The sequence below is a fragment of the Homo sapiens genome, chromosome 16 (genome assembly GCF_000001405.40).
Source record: "Homo sapiens chromosome 16, GRCh38.p14 Primary Assembly".
Classification (NCBI taxonomy): Eukaryota; Metazoa; Chordata; class Mammalia; order Primates; family Hominidae; genus Homo; species Homo sapiens.
The window spans coordinates 82,818,165-82,839,079 of record NC_000016.10 but is presented as its reverse complement, the minus strand read 5'-3'; the positions used below and the strand labels follow the sequence as shown (position 1 = coordinate 82,839,079).

General features: G+C 41.0%; 1 protein-coding gene and 1 long non-coding RNA gene across 9 annotated transcripts in view; both read right to left on the bottom strand.

Moving 5' to 3' along the window:
• CDH13 (cadherin 13) overlaps window positions 1-20,915 on the bottom strand; it is a 1,173,672-nt gene that overhangs the window by 961,561 nt on the left and 191,196 nt on the right. The window lies entirely within an intron of this gene.
• Window positions 9,442-20,915, bottom strand: part of LOC101928446 (uncharacterized) — a 56,320-nt gene continuing 44,846 nt past the window's right edge. The window contains exons 2-3 of the long non-coding RNA NR_110938.1: window positions 12,377-15,868; window positions 9,442-9,815 (exon numbers count right to left, since the gene is read on the bottom strand). This is a non-coding gene — a long non-coding RNA (uncharacterized LOC101928446). The remainder of the gene's footprint in view (window positions 9,816-12,376; window positions 15,869-20,915) is intronic.

The window sequence follows — 20,915 nt, the reverse complement described above, 5'->3', positions numbered from 1 at the left end:
AGCCTATTGTCAGTTTTTGTAAATAAAGTTTTATTGGAACACAACCATGCTCATTGGTTTACCTATTGTGTATGTCTGCTTTCATGCTACAATGGCAGAGTAGAGTAGTGTAGCTGCCCAGAGACTGGATGGCCTGCAATGTCTGAAAATTTATTATCTGGCTCTTTGAGAAAGTTTGCAGACTTGTGGGTTGAACCCACTAAAAGCCAGAGGGCAGGGACCTTTACATAAGGCCAGAGCAAGGTGAAGTCAGCTAAAGAATAAACCGCCTGGAGAGGCCAGTGAAGTGACCCATCACACTTGTCACGTATGACATCAATCACAGAATGAGAGAAGTACTGGGACAACCTAGGCCAAAAAAGGTGAAAATAGAGGTCCCCACAATGACTTTGAGTATAAACAAAACCATCAACTTCTTAAGCAGCCCTCTGTGAACCAGGTTTTTTTCAAATTAGGCTCATGCAGAGAAGGCACAATTGAGGAAAGATGAGATTTGGAAAGCCCAGAAGCAATGAGCATCTTCATGATATTACTATTACTTTGGTGAATTTCCCTGTAAGTTCAGCATTTTCTAAAAACTTTTTTCAACATTCAAAGACAATACTTTAAGTCAATAAACAGGAAGGGTGTGGGGGCTTCATTTGTTCTTTGGGACACAGAACAATAAATATAGTAATTCCCAATATCCATGAGGCAAATATTGAACACCTACCACCTGTCCATCCCTATAGTGGACACTAGTGATAACACAATAAATAGGACGGGCATGTTCTTCTGCCAGAAAAATATATCCTCCTTCTAGTGGAGATACCCATGAACAAGAATAAAAGAAGGACAAAGGATAACTTTAGAATGATACTTCCATTAGAGAAATTAGAACTCAGTGATGGGAACACGCAAGCATCTGCAATGAAAAGGGTGAGGACTTGGTCATGGAGAACTCAGGGGAAGAGCTTTCAAAACAGAGGCAGCTGCTAGCACCAAGGTAAGGCTTTGGGGCCAGGATCTGCGGGGTGATGGGAGGAATGTCAGGTTGGTTAACAGGTAGTACTGGGGATGAAGCCAGAGAGTTAGTAGGGGCCTTATGACCTCTAGTCCTGGGCAGAAAAGAGTTACGAAGCAGATTGCAGACTGCAATGTTGGAAAGGCCTGCCTGAAAGGCTGGCCCTTGGCTGGCATCTGGGAACTTGGGTTTGGAGAGTATTCCCATGCCCATAACTGGTAAGAGTGGCTCCAAGTGCCTCATGTTTGTATGAACTATTCGGTTTATGCTGAACTCTTGCTTTTCTTCCGGGAGTCAGGAATGTTGCTATGTATCAGGCAGAGGCTGTCTACGTGACCAGCTCGATGAGCTCCCAGTAAAAACTCGGGCACTGAGCCTCCAGTGAGCTTCCCTCGTAGAAACCATTTCACACACGGTGTCACCATATGTTGCTTGGGGGAGTTAAGCACATCCTGTGTGACTGCATTGGGAGGGGATTGTGGAAATCTTGTAACTGATTTCCTCCGGACTTCGCTCACAGGCCTTTGCCCTTTGCTGATTTCATTTTGTATATTTTCACCGTAATAAATCTTAACCATGAGTCCTCCTTGGGGATCAAGGAAACTGGGGGTGGCCTTGGGGACTCTAGGACTTCCTAGGACTTGGGGATCAAGGAACCTGGGGGTGGTCTTGGGGACCTCTGACATAAATGATGGATCTGAATTTCATTCATTTGTTCTGTGCCAGAAACCAGGGGGGAGCACTTTACATGGACTTTTCCCCGTAATCCTCACCACAAGCCTCTGAGGTAGGCAAGCTCTCCCCATGCTCACCACCACTATTTTACAGACAAAGTAATTAAGATAGTTTCAGCTTCTCATGGGAGGTCACCCCGCTGAGCCTGAGGGAAAATCCACGTGGCCTAACTCCCACTTCCCACCATTCACCCTCTGGGCTCACCCACAGTGCCCAAACTGCCTGAGGAAAATACAGGGACGCTTTTGCATATTTGTTTGACTTCCACCTCGATGGGTTGCCCATTTTAAGACTTTAATCTATTTTATCATGAGATGCTCCAGCAAAGCTCATTCAAGCTCCACCTCTTAATCTTGATAGTGAATTTGAGCCTTTGTTATAAGAAAGACTATTAAGATTTGGCAATAAGATTCTTCAAGGGTGATAAATATCCCTTTAAAGGGACTGCATATTCACCGACTGAATAACTCTGTCCTAAAAATGAAAGTCACACTTGGAGAATGGAAAGGTGGGTTATGAAAATGCAGATTAGAATGACTATGGGTAGAAATGAATTCACCTCATCTTGCCATGAAGAAGTATGAGTTGGGGTAGAGCCTTTCTAAGCTGAGCCCAGGTGTACCACAGAATGCAGGAAGTCGGCATCAGCAGGCTCATCATCGTGGGCTGTGATGTCTGCTGTTTGAAGGCAGCAGTAAAAAATGCCAAGACGCTGTCATTTCCATTATACCAGAACTTATCTGTGCTCTTCTGAAGATGAAGATCTCTGTAGGCCTAACATCCTTTCTCATCAGTATTCCTCAAAGTGGGATACATACACCCACTTTGGCATATCACGTAATTTTAGGCAGTATACTGAGATGAACATTGTTAATTTTAATAATTACGTCTTGGCCAGGCACAGCGGCTCATGCCTGTAATCCTAGCACTTTGGGAGGCCAAGGCGGGTGGATCACCTGAGGTCAGGAGTTCAAGACCAGCCTGCTTAACATGGCGAAACCCAGTCTCTACTAAAAATACAGAAAAATAACTGGGCGTGGTGGTGGGCACCTGTAATCCCAGCTACTTGGGAAGCTAAGGGAGGAGAATCGCTTGAACCCAGGAGGTGGAGGTTGCAGTGAGCCGAGATCGCGCCACTGCACTCCAGCCTGGGCGCCAATGCACTCCAGTCTGGGCAACAAGAGTGAAACTCCATCTCAAAAAAACAAAAACAAGCAAACAAAATGCAAAATGAAGCATCTTTCACATGCAAAGTTCATATTCACACTTAGGGCCCTGAAAAGCCATATGGGAAGAATGCATTTCAGACATTCTACCAGATACACATGACACATGCTGTGAGTGAATCATGGCAAATTCTGACATGCGAGACCTGAGCGATGAGACTTTGCTACTTGAGGAGCCTCAAGAGCCTGGAGCTGTTTTCTCCTGGGGGTGTTGGTAGCAGAGACTTCCTGGTGTGATCAAGACATACATTCATTTTATTGTCATAGACTGATGGAGCTGATGAGACTCTGGCCAAGAATTAAATGTCCTTGGTTTGCTGGAGGCAAACATGCATATGGATTGATCATCACAGCAGGGCACTTCTGGCTTCCTCCTGTGCATGAGTTGAGACCAGCAAAACTAGGGAAACTTCTATCTAGAGAACAGGAGCAGGGAGGCCGCTGATCAAGCCTGTGGAGGGACAGAGCATTTCCTCATAAGCTGGGAGCATAGGACTGTATGCACCTACTGCCCCTGGCGTGTTAAATAACCAGCAGCGGAATTGGAAATGATTGAGCAAGGGTAAGGCCAGAAAGAGGAGCATTTTATCAAATCAAGGGCTACAGCAACTGAATTCACTTTCCCCAGGAAGCACATCCCAGGAAATTTGCTGGGTGGGTACAATATTTGCAGCTTGGAATATGGTCCCTCCAGCTAAAATTGGGGTAGCTTTGGAGTTTAAATCCAGGTGCTATGTGACCTTAAAAAGGAAGAAGAGACCAAGATTTATACGGAGCATTCCCTGTGAATGTCAGAAGGAGCATAAATTGGTTCCAGCTCTCTAGAGCTGCCACTGTCCAATGCGGCAGCCACCGGTCACATGTGCCTGTTAAACCCCTGAAATGTGGTGAGTCCAAATTAAGAGGTGCTGTTAAGTGCAAAATGCACACTGGATTTTAAAGACGTGGTATGAAAAAAGAATGTAAAATATTTCATTCGCAATTTCTATATTACCTACACGTTGCAGGGATACTACTTGAATATATTGGGTTAAAGAAAACACACTACAATTAACGTCACCTGTTTCTTTTTACTTCTTTTAGCAGAGCTATCAGAAAATTTAAAATTATATATGTGGCTTTGAGGACTCCAGAGCAGGCCTGAGCAAACATTTTCTTAAAGAGCCAGTAGTAAATATGTTAGGTTTTGTGGGCCAAGAGGCAAAATTAAGGATTTTATGTAGCCATTATATAAGCATTTAAGATGCAACCACTTAAAAATGTAAAAACCATTTTAGCTTGCTAGTTGTCCACACACAAGTGGCAGGCTGGATTTGGCCCTCAGATCAGAGTTTGCAGACCCCTTTCCAGAGCATAATATTGTGCAAAATCTCCAGTGAATATCCCCATGGACCCAGCAAGCTCACTTCTGCGGAGCCAAGTGCGTGAGCAGACAGACATTTATCAGGCAGACAAGGGGGCTGACCACTGTGAAGAAACAGGCTCAGACCCAAAGCTGGTCAGCTGCTAAGAGGCAAAGTATAACTCGACCCACAGTGGCTGTGGGCTGTGGGCTGTGGGCTGTGGGTGGCTGCAAAGCTTGTGTTCTGAATGACTACGCTTCACCAATGGAAGGCACCTCTTTATTTTTTCTCTTTTCTTTTTTTTAGAGGGGGAAACTTTCTTATGGCTGTATGACTAAGTCAGATAAACCTGATCTCCTTCTTGGCCCTGAATAGATGCTCTTTGAATCGACAGATAAAGGAAAGAAATGCCTGCATGTTTAGGGGCCTCCTCGTGGTGGTTTTGAAATCTCTCTCTTGCCTCTGTTTCAGTACAAATGACCAAGAATTGACTAGAGCTCAGCCATCTAATGCAGGCCCCTGCTTTTCATGCACAAGGCGTTGACCTTTAAATTCATCTGAAAGATGTGTCAGCCTATCTGGTGAGAAGAAATGGATCTCCCAGGGTCCGGTAGTTTGCCTTTAGTGCATCAAGAGTTAATCCTCTCATGCTGAGGGTTATTAATATAAAAAATACAAAGCAATCATATCTTATCTTTTGAAAGCAGATGAGCTGGCTAGCGCTGAATTGAGAAAATTATTATTTATTAAAAATGAGATAGTCATGGGCCAGTGACTAACCTGATTGGGTTCAGAGACAATTCCCCACCCACAAGGTAAGTAATACATTTCTCGAGAAAGGGGTTTTGTTAAATACAAAATGCAGTAGCATTATTATGCATCTGCTCTGGGCTCACATGTCGATCTTTTCACATTATAATCGCATCAACCAGGAAGAAACCCTCAGCGTAGCCACACACCGTTTTCCCTCCCCAGTAGCTGCTGTACTGTGGACTTGCACAGAGCCAGGGCTTCCTTCAACCCCAGTTCTGGCTTAAGTGTCCCCTGAGAATTCCAGACAAGGAGGCAGTAGATTGAAAACAGATGCCATGAAGTCACTAGGTTGACATTAGGCTATTACCTGGACAGATGGAAGAACAGAGCGGGAGGGAAGGGAATCATTTTCCATCTTCATTAACTGCACAAGCAATGGAAAGCCCTGGAATGGTTAAGGGAGGTCCAGAAGGGAAGCACTCAGACCATGCTTTGCAAACTCAGCATTTGACAACATAGTGAATTCATGGGGATCAGAATCACACAGCAACAGGCTGTTGGGTTCCTGGGTTGAATTTAGACTGTGAAGTCAAGCAAACCTGGCTTTGAGTCCCCACGCCACAATTTACTATCTATGCAACTTCCACAGAGGCACTTTCTTTTCCATAAGAGCTGAAGTTGGATACCTCCACGAAAATGTCAGTGAGAATTATTTTGCAGGATCATTCGAAGGATGAAAGAAGAAGCACATTAATGTCCTCAGCACACAGTAAGATAGTGCTACACAATTATTCATGGTATGAACACATTTGAAATCAGAAAACCCTGAATATCCGAAACATTTGTTTTTTAGATGACTTACACAAGGCTCTTGGGAGACGGGTCTGAGTTCACTGGTCTCTCACATTGGCTCTCCTTCTGTCTGCCATCTGGGAATGTTACCATAACACACTGACTCATTTCAGGGTAAAAAGGTATAACTGTAAGATGGGAATTTTGTGGCATATTTTTGCAGCTCACTCACATAACACATATTGCTAATCCATGGCTGCAGTTCTATGATGTAGGCTGGATCCAACATCAGAATCCTCCCAAAGCAGCCTCTTAAGCATCTGCTGCCAAATAATGGAAGCTGTCATCTGAATCAAAATCTGCCTATGTTCCTTGGTGCAGTTAAATTCAGATACTATTTCAACGATTGTCACCCAGTAGATGCTCAAGAAGGTCATTATCTTTTTATCTATTTACATTTCAGAATATACAGTTATTTGTACCAGGCTGACTGATCCAGATGCAAAAGCTTACTGTAACATGGCAATGTTACTGAAACAATTTCATATCGTTGCTATATTTTGTTTTGTTTCATTTTGGGGTGATAATAGTTGAAAAGAATGTTTAAGATTCATTTTTTTTTTTTTGCTGGGAATCTTGCACATGATTTATAAATCTAATTATAACTGTGGATAGTGACAGCCTATAACTATGTTTAATAGACTGTATTTTCTTATTTTCATCCAGATTTTTACAACCATGTTGGTAGAGCAACACAATAAGGAGGATGAGAAGGAGGAAGGAGAGAAGGAGGAGGAGGAAGAAGAGATGAAAAGTCACACCTAAGTCGTAAGTACCTACTTGCTGTAAAACACTGAAAACTATGAAAAAGACAATGCATTAATAAGGGTTGAAAATCAAGCTTAGATATTGCAAAACTTATTTTCAAACTGGTTTCATGTTCATAATTAATGGTTAATATTCTGCCATTTATAAAGTATTAAACAGTGGTTTAATGAGATTTCACTAGGCCACTTGCAAGCACTCAATCAAATCTTATTTTCAATACGTGAAAAATGTCTCCTTGACTCTTAATGCATTTAGGGTCAACAGTAACATCTTCATACATAAAATATTTCATTCTGCTTTTAAAGAAGAGGTAATTATAAGATAAGGGTCACACAGAAGGTCGAGGTTTTATGTAACTTCTATTCTAATTAATTTATCATATGCGGGACTTTGCTTTGGCTTCCAAGCGTTGCTCTTTTACAGCTATCATATTCCATGTGATAATGAGTTTTATTCTTTCAAAAGGTCATCCTTGATGTAATTTCACCATTAACAGAGGGAACCTGTGAGCATGGGTTTACCTAGATATGGTTGTTTCCTGGAAAGTCATTCCACAAAGTCTTGGGTCTGTTTTGCCCTTAGATGTCATTTAAAAACCAAAGGGGCCAAGTCATTTGAACAAAAGGTGAGAAATTCCATTAATCATTAGGAAGATTGACTTCACAATCCTGGCCCCATGGAACAATGTGGAGCAGCAGAAATATTTGTATCTGAGAATTTGTTTTACCTCTTCTGTCTCATAAGTGAAATGACCTGGACGTTATTGTTATTTTTTGGATATTGATTTGGTTGTTGGTTCTCTTCGGGTAGTGTGGTCCACAGCTGGGGTCCTCACCTCAGCCCCTTTATTGTCAGGAAATCTTTGTGTCATTGTTGGAGTTGTTTCCTTTGCTGCTTCTCATTACTTGAAAGATTTTGGTCTTCCAAGCAAACTGCATTTATTAAGCAATAGTTATGCCATTTCCCAGGATCTCCCAACCCCCAGCACTTTAAAAAAAATGAAAGATATATAATTATCAAATAGAAGCTTCTTAGATAATCAACCAAGCTGAATTGTTAGGATTCTGGATGAAAGCAGAGAAACTTGATACCGACCTAGCTAAGGATAAATGTATGGTTTCGGCCTGGGGTTTCTGAAATGCTAATGATTGGCAAATCACCATCACTGACTGCAAAGAAGCCCCTGGATTAATGCTTCTCAAATGCCACTGTGTATGCAAATCATCTGGAATCTTGTGAAAATGTAGATTCCTATTCAACAGGTCTGGTGCGGCGCCTAGGTGCTGCATTTCTGACAAGTGCTCAGGTGATGCTGAAGCTGCTTGGTCCATGGACCACGCATTGGGAAGCAGCACTCTAGAGAATAAAGGAGAGCAAGCAGAGAAGGGGGCCGTAGCTTCAGCTCAGTTTCAGCTCTGCGGAAGATTTGCTAAGCACCCTCTGTATACCAGGCCCATTATAACACAAGATACACTTTTATATAAAATATAGTAATAGGACAGTTTTTCTTCCAATGACTTATTCTATATCTTGTCACATAGAAGTACCACACATTTCAAACAAGAGCCAGGCTATGCCCAGGGTGGGATTATTTTCACGGTCATGGTAATATGCATGTAAGACTATTTTTACTGGCCTTCTTTTATGCATAAAACAAGGTATTGGTCTATTCAACAAACATGTGTCAATACAGCTATGAAGCGCTAGAAGAAACAGACATAGTCCATGCCATCATGGCATGTCAAACTGAGAAGACACTGAGCAGGTAAGAACACAAATTAATGTCATTACAAATAAGATGAGTGTGAGGAAAGAAGAGAGCACATCCTTACATCTTCTAAGCGCTCCCACCCCTCACCATTCACAAGCAAACGACACTGTAGATCCTCTTTTTACTTTCACTGTATCACTCCCCATTTGTTCAAGAAATGGTCATTGTGCCAGGCACTATACCCATTTCATAGTGTGACAACAACACTGTTCACTGCCCATGGGGACCATGATGAATCTCAGGAGAGAAAAGATGCTCAACTCTGTAATCCCTACTCAAGAGTCAACACCAGGTATGTCATAACAGAGCCTAGCACAGTACCTCTAATAGTACTTGCATTCAAACACATATTTTTGAATAGATAAATGAATGGAGTTATTGATAAGTACCAAGTGTCCTCCCTGTAGTGTGAATCAGAAAAGGGGCAAGATAGTGGCTTTTATTATAAGTTTCACACGTGGACAGAATGGGCTATGGATCCCAGCCCTGCCACCATTCAGCTTTCAAAAACTTTGCTCCCTCATCTGGGGGAAAAAAAAGTAGTAACAATAACATTTTTATTGTAGGACTGCTGTAGGATTAAATGAGATATATCTATGAAATGTTTACTCAAGAGCTTGGCAAAGGAAGAAAGTTCAGCAAATAATAATGTTGGTTACTCTAAACATCGTCTTTATTACTATTTTCCTAACAATTGTTATGGAAGTACCATCTGATATGGTCCTCAAAGGAGATGAGGCATTTTGACAAATGGAAATGATGAGAAAGCTTCAGCAGAGAAAACAAATCTTTAAGAATCAGATTATTGCTTACACATTCAATAAATATGCCACTGGTTATTTGTGCTTGCCAGGGAATTAGGTGAAGATTAATTAATATTTATAAAGTATTTTGATATCCATGTAATATCTAGTAAGCAATTAGTTCTGTAACGCAAAGCCAAATCCTTTCACATACCAAACAATGTAAAACAAACCGAATACAGCTGTGTAAGAAGGAACGGAATTTCATTAACTCATGTTGCAGGAAATATATAGCTGGTTGGTTTCCCCCTCTTTCCCTTTCAGTAATCTTCTTGCTGATTTTCTCTGTCTTCCGACTGCACTTTTCCACCCTACCCCCTGCAGCCCCAAATCAAATTATTTCCTCTTGGGTAGCCGTGAAAACAGAAATGGGATAAAAGTAAATGCAATACTGGCCCCTCCAGCCTGGAAGGTGTTTCAAGCCCAAGAGTATATAACAGTCAATGGCTTAACAGGCAAGCAGACAGGGCTCCCAAACTGTGTATTTCCACATCCATCATCCTAGTCAGGCGGTATGAAAGGTTATACGCTCCCTTAATGTGATCCACACGGAGAAGAACCCTGGGGTAGAAGGAGAGGGGATAAAAAGAAAATTAAGTCAAAATAAAAGATGTGTTCCTCCTCGACTTGTGCCTCCTCAGTCTCTCCAGTCCACTCATGTATATATATTGCCAACCCAGAATGACTTGACTCTGATGAAGAAAAGGTTCTCCCACCCCACTCCAACCAGTCTCCATGGACCACCCTTACTTCTGGACAATGTATTGTTTCATATCCATGAATTCCATGTGTCCACCTTTTTTCTAAAACCCATCGCTCTAGCCTAAGGTATCTAATCTTGTGTTCACTGTGGAAGTCTCTGGTCTATGAAACTTTATCTAAAAGGTTAGCACAATTGTCCCTTGGTATCTGTGAGGGACTGATTCCAGGATTTTTCTCAAATACCAAAATACCCTATGTAAAATGGCATAGTATTCGCATATAATCTATACATATCCTCCTGTATACTTTAAATTATTTCTAGATTACTTATATAATACCTAATAGAATGTAAATGCTATGAAAATAGTTGTACTGTATTTTTATTTGTATTATTTTTTCTTTGAATGTGTGTGTGTATATATGTATATATATATGTTTGTGTATACATATATATATATACACACACACACACACACAAACACATCTATTTTTATTTTTATTTTAGACAGGCCCTCATTCTGTTGCCCAGGCTGGAGTGCAGTGGTGTGATCTCACTGCAACCTCTGCCTCCCGGGATCAAGCAATTCTCATGCCTCAGCCACCTGAGTAGCTGGGATTAGGTGGGATTACAGGTGCCCGCCAACACTCCTAGCTGAGGTTTCTATTTTTAGTGAATTGGGGTTTCACTATGTTGGCCAGGCTAGTATTGAACTCCTGGCCTCAAGTCATCTGTTTGCCTTGGCCTCCCAAAGTCTTGGGATTACAGGCGTGAGCCACCACACTCGGCCAGAGGATACTTTTGATCCATAGTTCATTGAATCCGCAGATGTGGAGCCTGTGGATACGAAGGGCTGACTGTGTGTGAAACAGACGTAAAGAGTCTTCATGGCAGAGGCAATGCTGCGGCCCAAGCTTTTCTCTAACCCTTGCCCTCTCTTCCTCAACACAGCTCCAGAAATGGTTCTGTGATGGTATTGAAAACCTTGATCTCATAGAAAGCTGTCTAATCAAATACAACAGAGCCTATCAGACTCAACCCATCCAGAAAGTGCTTCCTCTCTAACCTCTCATAATAGGATGACCAACTGTCTCTGTTTGTCTAGAACTGAGAGGTTTCCCGGAGTGTGAGACTCTCTGTGTCAAAAGTGGGACAGAATTGGGCAAACCAGGATGACTGGATACTCTACTCCTACTCTGCCTTGCAAGGTAGAGTATTCTAACTCCATTAGTGTGACAAATCAGTGAATGACCAGGCACTTCTGGCTCCGTGTCATACTCATACCACATCTGACCATCCTACACCATAAATCTCACTACTATTTTCCCTTTACCATTATTGTTCTGCTCAAATAACCCAACCACTATCAGGTCTATTTTCATCAAGTAAAAAAGGGCATTCATGCTGAGAATCTTTATGAAGCCATTTTAGGTCAGATTCTCCCCAGAGGTTCCATGTCCTTCCTCACTTTACCAACAATAGTGACTTTCTTGAGGTCAAAGATGAAAGGGGTCAGACGTTGCCCAGTAGGAAGTTAGCCTAGCTTTGTCTACAGATTGACTCTAGTCCACAGTATACTCCTAAAAAGGGCGGGACCTACTCTTCTATGCACCCTCACTTACAGAGCCCAAGACTCACATCATCACTGCCTCATGAAATGCATCACAGCCTCTCCCCATCATTTGGTGAGGTTCTTTGTTCAGAACCTCTGGCTCCACCTCCCTCACTCTGTGAGTGGCAGACATTTGCTTGACCCCTTCATACCTTAAAGACACCCAATGCCTCTAGATCCAGTACCTAAATCCCTCTTATGGCCAAACAATACATTATTATGCAAAATAGTAAAGATGAAGACATCCTATTAGAAGGGAATTCACACGATGCTTATGCCACTCTCTCTCTGTCTGGGAAATTACAAACCTAAACTTTATCCATTTCTAAGAGTCCAACAACTACATTTTACTATATTAACAGTATTATTTTTCAAAAAAATAATTAGCACTAGCAGAACAAGGCTAAGGCTGTGTTGCCTGAATTAAGATATGGGCCAAATGTGTCCACTGATAGAAATAACCCCTATTTTATCATCAGGCAGAGGATAAGCAAAACATGCCAGGGGCTGGATGAATTCTTCCAAAGCCAGCCGTGTGGCATTTTCCTGTAATTAGCTCAATTGTGCATTCTTAGTACCTTTCCCAAGTCCCCTGAGAGTCGACTGTAGTCTTTCTCAGCTTCTCTAGCTGCTGTAACTTGAAAACCTGCCTCACCCTTCCTGTGGTCAATGTCTGCTAATACCACATTTTAATCACATTTAGATGTCTATGCTCAATATCTCTAAATTATCTGAGGAACCTGCCAAACTGTTTCACCAGCAAATCCACTAAGTTACTTACAAATCAAAAAAGCTTATGGAACAAATTACCACATTCAGTAATTTACAGGCACTCTTCATTGTACGAAGCAATTTAAAATTACTGGAGCCCTTCGCCTTTTCCCCCCGTAAGTGCTTCAATCTGGAAGTGATTGGGACTCTATTCCTGAGATGAGAAAGGTAATTTAACATTTTGGAGGACTTTTTATACATATGCATATAATAGAAACACCTATTTTAATAATGATTAGGATTCTGATCATGTACAGAACTGCACGATTTAAAATTACCAACATGTTTCAATTACATCAATGCTTCAAGTTTGGGATTGAATTCGATATTGTATGTAGGAAATAAAAAAACACACAACCATTTCATGCACTCATCCCTACTCATTATAAAAATTAGAATTTCAACTTGGACAATTTAAGCACCTGCCATATAGAAGCCACTGCAATTCTCAAGCAGTCTAACTTCATGAGAAAGCAACCCTCTGATTTCAAGATTTCATTTGGCTATTGTGTGGCTGTTTATCGCAAAGTACTTCAGAATCAGAGGCATCTCCTGTTAGTAGACAATGCATCTTAAAAATATTTGTTGGGCCAGACGCGGTGGCTCAAGCCTGTAATTCCAGCACTTTGGGAGGCTGAGGTGGGCAGATCATGAGGTCAGGAGATCAAGACCATCCTGGCCAACATGGTGAAACCCCGACTCTACTAAAAAAATACAAAAAATTAGCTCGGTGTGGTGGGGTGCGTGTGTAGTCCCAGCTACTTGGGAGGGTGAGGCAGGGGAATCACTTGAACCCAGGAGGCAGAGGTTGCAGTGAGCCAAGATCGCACCACTGCACTCCAGCCTGGTGTCAGAGTCAGAGTTTGCCTCAAAAACAAACAAAAAAAAATTGTTAAGGCTGGGCACAGTGGCTTGCGCCTGTAATCCTCGCACTGTGGGAGGCTGAGGCAGGTGGATCACCTGAGCTCAGGAAATTGAGACCATCCTGGCCAACATGGTGAAACCCCATCTCTACTAATAACACAAAAAATTAGCCGGGCATGGTGGTGCATGCTTGTAATCCCAGCTATTTGGGAGGCTGAGGCAGGAGAATTCCCTGAACCCAGGAGGTGGAGGTTGCAGTGAGCCAAGATCGTGCCACTGCAGTCACTCCAGCCGGGGCAACAGAGGGAGACTCTGTTTGGGAAAAAAAAAAAAAAAAAAGTTAATATTGTTTAGATCTAAGAGGAAATAAGCCAAGAAGATTTCAGTTCTCACTAGATAAAAACACTTTCAGCTAATGAGAAGTTCTTGTTTCATTTTGTTTTTTTGAAGTATCAAGAAAAAGAATGAGGTACTTTGCTACTAGAAAGTGAGGCATTATTTAAAAGATGGCACAATACAAAGCAGACTCCTGGTATTTTCCTGGTGAATTCGGGTTGTGAAAACAAAGTCAGGGAGGGTGGCTGAGAAGTGGGTGCACCTTACTGCTTTGGAAGGACTAAGGTAAAACACGCCTGCGCTGTCTGACCATTTTCTTAAAATCATCGATAAAAAGCCCTTGGAAAAAGAAGAAAGTTCGTTGCCCCTGTTAATTTTTTTGGCTAAATTTTTAGTATTGGAGAGTTCAAGAAAACATCAAAGTGGAGAGATTCGTATGATGAACTTCTCTGTATCCATCGCTCAACCTCAATATTAAACTCATGGCTACCATTAGCTCACCTGAGCACACATCCACTCACCCCTTCCACAGATTGTCTTAAAGAAAATTCTAGATATCATATGATTTCATCTATAAATATTTAGAAGGTATCTGTAAAAGATTAAAAGTATTTTTTTAACAGAAGCAGCATGCATTATCATAACTGAACAAATACTAATGAGAATTTCTAAATGGCAGCAAACATCTAGTCTTTGTTCATATTATTCTAACAAATTTTTTTGCAGTCTATTTTTAAATCAGAATCCAAATTAGAACCAAAGATTATGATTGATACATCTCTTATGTTTTTTAATTCATCCAGCCTCCTGTTCATGTATAATTCTTTTGTCTTTGCAACATCGTGTTGAATCATTTGGATTGTTTCCACAGTGGAAGTTCGCAGATTGCATCTCTGTGGTGTCATTTAACATGTTCGCCTGTCCACTGTGTTTCCTATAAATAGATACATCCTGGAGGCTGGATCAGATTCAGGTGCAGTATTTTTGGCTCAAGACTAGATGGCGTTGTGAACTTACTTCAGGACATACAAATGTCATATGGTCTTTCTTTTTATTGATGGTTACTGCCTAGATATATTAATTTAGTAAGAACTGCAAATTCATTATATTCTAATTCTGCCATTTTTTCGTTGCTTATTACCTAGAAAGAGAAACTCTCTTCATCCACTAGTTAATTATTTCTACAAGGAATTCTGAAAACAAAGGCAGGATAGTTGTTTATGTTTTTTTTTCCTTTCCGTTTCTAAAATAATGAGATGGTTTCTATCATCTTTGTAAGGTAACCTATAAATAATTTTGTTTTCCCCTATCATTATGAACTTATGTATTTAAACAGATTTAGTGTATTTAAATCCATTGAAATCACTTATTTTGTTTTGAGGCTCAAATTATCTCATCTTTGAGCTACTCATACTGGCTTCTTTAAATGACATGACCCTAATGACATCTCATAGCCTCTCTGCTTCTTGGTATGACAAGATTTTACAGATTCTTCTTGTTTATTTCCTGCCTCAAATATAAACTCAATCATTTTCTCAAGACAGCTTGGTTTCTTTTGCTAGAAAATGATCACTAGTGACCATAATCTATTTGCTAAGGAAGTTTATTGCTATTGGGTTGGTCACTGTTTCTAGGGCTTTTTAGTAGAAAGAGAATACATGAATTTCTAAGATAAAACACCTAATAAATTCATATGTATAATCCCACTTCCAATTCTCTAGCATTTTAAATTAATCTCGCTGGTCTTATATCTGCATCTTCTTCCTCCCATACTTCAATATTCTAGTTCTCCAAATTAACATATACATTTATCTTTCAATACACACAATATTATACTATATTTTATATAACAATAAATATACCAACACTACCTCCAAAAGCAGTATTATTGAAAATACTTTAAGATTTCCCTTTGCAGTTGTTTTGGTTTTTGGTTTTCAATTGTCTTTAATGGACAGAGTCAAATAACTGCGTTTTAAAATAACTAGGGGTAGTTCCTATCAAGTGGTTATGCCAGCATCTTGAGTACACACTTAGGTTCAATTGTTTCTCTGACTTTTGAATTTTAGAATAGGCTTTTTATTTCATTTTGTTTTCAAATTCATGAAACAACTTTTTTTTTAAATGTACTTTTTTTCCCTATCTCTTCAGCCTTTATTTCACGCTTTTCACTTTAGGTAACTGCGTCAGATTATATATTCTAGTAACGGCCACAGCAATATTTTTTGCCATACCTCCTCTTCCAGACCTTATCATCTTCTCACTAGGAGGTAAAGTCCATCCCCTTCCCCTGCTGCCCCACTTTTCTTGAACCTGGGTGGGCCTTATTATCTGCCAAGAAAAAAAGAAATGTGGCAAAGGTGACACTGTGTGCCTTCTGACACTAAGTCATAAAAGGTAGTACAGCTTGTCCAGCCTCTCTCTTGGAATAGGCATCTTTGGAGCCTCAGGCCAACTTGTAAAACATACAGCTACCTGTAAGCCTTGGTGCTGCAGAGACCATAGAGAGATGTCAAGGCAGCCTTAGCAGTTCCAGCCTCAACCCTCAGAGGTTTGTCTCTCTGTTCCACACCCAGGTCTATGAGCGAGCGCACTTCCAGATGACTCCAGCCTCGGCCACTGACTGCAAGCCCATCAGAAACCCTGAGATCCACCTAGCGGAGCCCAGACAATCCCTACACTGTGAGAGACGATAATAAAATGGTGTTGACATTTTAAGGCACTAATTTGCTTCAAAATAAGTAGATAGACTGGGCATGGTGGCTTATGCCTATAATCTCAGCACTTTGGGAGGCCAAGGTGGGAGGATGGCTTGAGCCCAGAAGTTCAAGACTAACCTGGGTAACACAGGGAGACCCAATTTCTACAGAAAAATTAAAAATTAGCCAGGTGTGGCGGTGCACACCTGTAGTCTCAGCTATTCAGAAGGCTAAGGCAGGAGGATCTCTTGAGCAGAAGGTGAAGGCTACAGTGAGCTTTGATCGCACCACTGCACTCCAGCCTGAGTGACAGAATGAGACCCTGTTTATACAAAGAAAAAAGATAACTGGAACAGTAACTATTTTTTTAAAAAAATGATTTAACCTAACTTTTATTTTTTAAAAAAGTAAATTTGTATGTGAATGTGCATCCCCTCAAAGACAGGCAGTAATATAACACACAATTTTCTCCATCTTACTTTTTCTACCTTAAAAATATATCCGAACATTATCCCAAATAGCCTATAGCCCTATTCCTCATTCCCTTTTAGAGCTCCACAGTACTCATTTGTGTAGACATTCCATTGTTTATTCAACCTGTGTTCTTTTGATAGACATTTGGAAGCATTCAAGTTTTATTTATTTTTTTATATTGCATATATTGCTGTATTACATAGCCTTGTGTCCCCGGGTAATCTTTTGATTGCTGTTAATGTCACTTGTTTCAGTGGGGTGAGGCAAATGTCTGTCGAGGTCAAATAAGTTAATTCACACAAAGTCCTTGGAGCAGGGTCTATCCTGTAGTAAGAACTCAATACCCAATAGCCATAGGCATTACTAAGGAAGACCCTTTTGGTTCTATGGATGGGAACAAAGTCAGTGAGGAACCTGGTTCCCTTTGCCACACATTCTTATATCACTGGAGGTGCAATCCCCAGGATTAGGAAGCATAGATGGTCCAAGGGGACCATACATTCCTTCAAGCCCTTGTTCTTCCCTCCTCCTGAAACCATTTTCTTTCACCTGGCCCCTTGCCTTTCTAAATCCTACACTTCATTTGAGGTTCAGAGCAAGTATTTATTTTTAGGGGAGCCCTCAATGACCATCCCCAGTCCCCAAACAGGGTCATAGTCCTTTATTGTTTAAGGTCAGGGAATATTACTCTCCTTCTTTCAAGTCATTGATTCATGTTTGTAGTTGAGACATCCATAAGTAGTGTTATTTGATAAAGTCTTTCTTCCCTTGTAGTCAGCAAGCTCCATGACTGTCTGTGCCACTTGTAAGCCCAACATCCAAGCCCAGGTTTGAATGGTCAAGGCTCTAACCAATTATGGAAAGAAGGAATGTGGATAGGGCAGATCTCTTGCATCTAGAGCCAGACTTGCAAGGCCCCACAGAGCTCACCCTAAGGCTGAATTCACCAAGGGGCATAGGCCAACTTCAAGCCTGGGAAATTCAGTTATCTGCCTCGAATCGTCTCATTAGTATAAATTTTAAAAATAGCCTTATGCCAATATTATAAAGACAATTTCCTCTTGGAAAGAACACTTACTCATTTGCCTTAAACAGTCATTAATGTTCCAAATTCCCCCTCAGAATTTCATGTCAATGGTCCTATAGGGAATTTAAAAGTAAAACCAGAAAAATAATGATGTGGGGAAAATGTCAGATGAGAACTGTGAATGCATTACAGACCTTCAGCTAATGTTGTTGCTGCTGAAGTTCAAGGATTAAGTAGTCATCAGTTTGCAAGCTTCCACAGGAGCCCATCCCTCTCTGACAGCAGCTGGTCTCCAGCTTTCCAATAATGATCATTTCCGCTGTAACTGATGGCCTCATCTAATGAGGAGATCATTGTTAAAAGTCACCAAGCTCTACCCCTCATTGGTAGAGGCAGGTCCCACAGACTTACCGGGCCAGACTCCACCAGAGAAAAGGGCAGGCATATTCATATGAATGAAAATAATCTACCACATTTTTTGCAGTCAAACGTTGGTTGTTATACTCCAATAAGAAAATGGAATATTTACCTTCAGGGCCAGATCTAGGAAATCCAGGACATAAATGTATAATCCTTAATAAAGAATGTCTTTTCAGACCAAAATCCTTAGGGTGGTTATAGTGTGAGTCTCACATTTACATCAAGAATGTTTTGGGGGAGGAACCCTGTCTATGTCTTTCATTTCTATAGCCTTAGTGCTGATCACAGACCTGTCATGTAGCAGATAATCAATAAAAATGTGTTCCGTGAATAAATGAATGGTTTCTTTCCATAGCCTGGGCTCTAAAAATAACTGCAGTGCAGTTCCAGAAGCAGGATGCCTGTGTTCAAATCCTGCCTCCACCACTAACCAATTATAAAACTGTGGGGAGGTTACTTAAATTCTCTGTGCCTCAGTTTCATTACCTGTAAAATGGACATAAATTAGTTCCTACCCCAAAGGGTTGTAAGGATTAAATGTGCTAATATCCATGAAGCATTTAGAACAGTATCTGAGGCATTACCAGGGCACCACATATAAGCTCTTCCTGGTCTTTTATGAGTACCAACGTAAACGTGTACTCAGTACCCATTGTGTGCCAGTCTCTGTGCTTGGTGCTTTCCATTCACTATTGACTATTTCATCTCCTTTGTGGTGATGCTGTCATTTTAAAGAGGAGCAGTAAAAACAAATCAATGATATTTAATCATTCCCACTTCCCCACATTGCAGATATCCTTATCCCTGTTTTAAAGATGAAGGAGCTAAGAGATGCTGGTGAGTGTTCACATTAATGACATGTGCAGGGAACAGCCAGGAACCCTCCTGGCTCGTCTGACTGCTGTGTTCTCCTCTACTGCTGCCGCTGTCTCTCGGAACCACTTCTCAGATAAATTTTAACAGTAGCCAGTTGCTCCACCTAGGATCCCAGCATCCATCTAGCCCTCATTCGGCTCTGCTTTTTCTATTCCCATTGCATATATCACCTTCTAAAATACTATGTGACTTATTTATATATTAGTTGTCTCTTCTGCTAGAATGTCAGTTCTACAAGCATAGGGATCTTTGCCGTATTTATTCATTGATGTATTCCAAGTGCCTAAAAACTGCCTGGAAAAGCATAGGCATTCAATACATTTTGAAGAAGAAAGGAGGAGAAAGGACGGACTTGCCTCCCTTCCCTTGAGTGCTCTCCAGTCCCTGCCCAGTGGCATCTCCTCTTGGGTAACTCTGTCAACTTTCATGCAGGTGTCTTAATTTCCTCTGTCTCCCATGTTGCCCTCCCTGAAACACAGTGTGGCTAGAGGTAGGGAAAGGGAGGGGTAGCCCAGAAGTTAGGGAAGTCTCCTTCCCAGTAGGGCCAAGCCTGGGACAAAAGAGCTGGAGGAACAGTGGGACAGGCAGCTTAGAAGCTTCCTGTATAACAAAAGGGGGAGGACTTCATGACTCCCTAGTCCATGCCTTTCTCATAGTAATTCCAGCATTTGTTAATTTGAGAATCAGCATTTGATACTAGAATCTGTGTCACTGTCCCTGGCTGGTGGCTGAAAAGGTTCAATACCTCCTTTATCTGGAAAGTTACTTGAAATATGCCTTCATGCTTAGCAGGCTAAAATATGTTATCCGATTAATTTAGATCAATTAATTGATTGTTTTTGTAACTACAGGATTACTCACCTAGCAATCAGAAGATTACTTTGTGGCAATAAAAACACTCTAAACAATGAAATTTATCCAATCTCTATGTGGAATGTGCATTTTTCTCTCTCTCATAAAACTCAATCTTCTGTTCTTTAGTATTGAATAAATAGAAGCAATCACACATGCCAGATGATTTTGCTGAAAGAATGTCCACACAATCTTCGACAGCACCTCCTGGCAAAGCCACAGTTTATGATTACTGATCCTCAAAAAGCACTCAGAGGGGAGCAAGTTCTGTCATTGAAAATGTTTTATAAAGGCATAACTCATTTTACCGTTAGCCATGTTTTCTTCCTTTTGCAAAGTTATGACACCACTAACAGCAGACTTGGTGTTTGTATGCAGACATATGAATACGCAAATGCAACACCAGAGAGAAAGGCCTTTACAGAGACTTGCCCTAGATGACCTGCATGCTGCCGAGAGATGCCTGTGGCCAGATGTGAGGCACCGTCACTGCCTTTTTTTTGGAAAATGCCCGATTTCTACAGCTATGAAGCCAAAGGTACAGTGGGCCTTTTGAGCACCTCTAAAAGGTAAATGTTGGCTATCATAACTTTAAATGAAAAGCAAAATCTTTTTGCTTCCCCACCCCTTTCTAAAAAACTCCTACCCATCCTTCAAGAGATTCCTCAAATGTTATTCCCTCTTGTATGTGCTCATGTAACTTTTTCTTTTATGGAAATTATCACTTTATGTTGTAATCATATTTTCTGTTTTCTGTGAGTAGCTCGATGAACATACTTAGGGTTCCTTCTTTCTTGTTGTTGCTTTGCTCTCTTTCTGTTAACATCTTTTAAGCATTGGAAGAAAGTGGTCTTTTTTATCTTTTAGTCCTTAGTTTGAATATCAGCTTCACAACTTACTAGCTACGTGACCTTGGCCGGGCAACTTCAAGTTTTAGAGACTCAAATTCCTCATCTACGTAACAGAAACAATGGCAGCAAATGCAGAGCAGGGTTGTGATCTACTTAAGAAGGGAAACTACATGTAAATC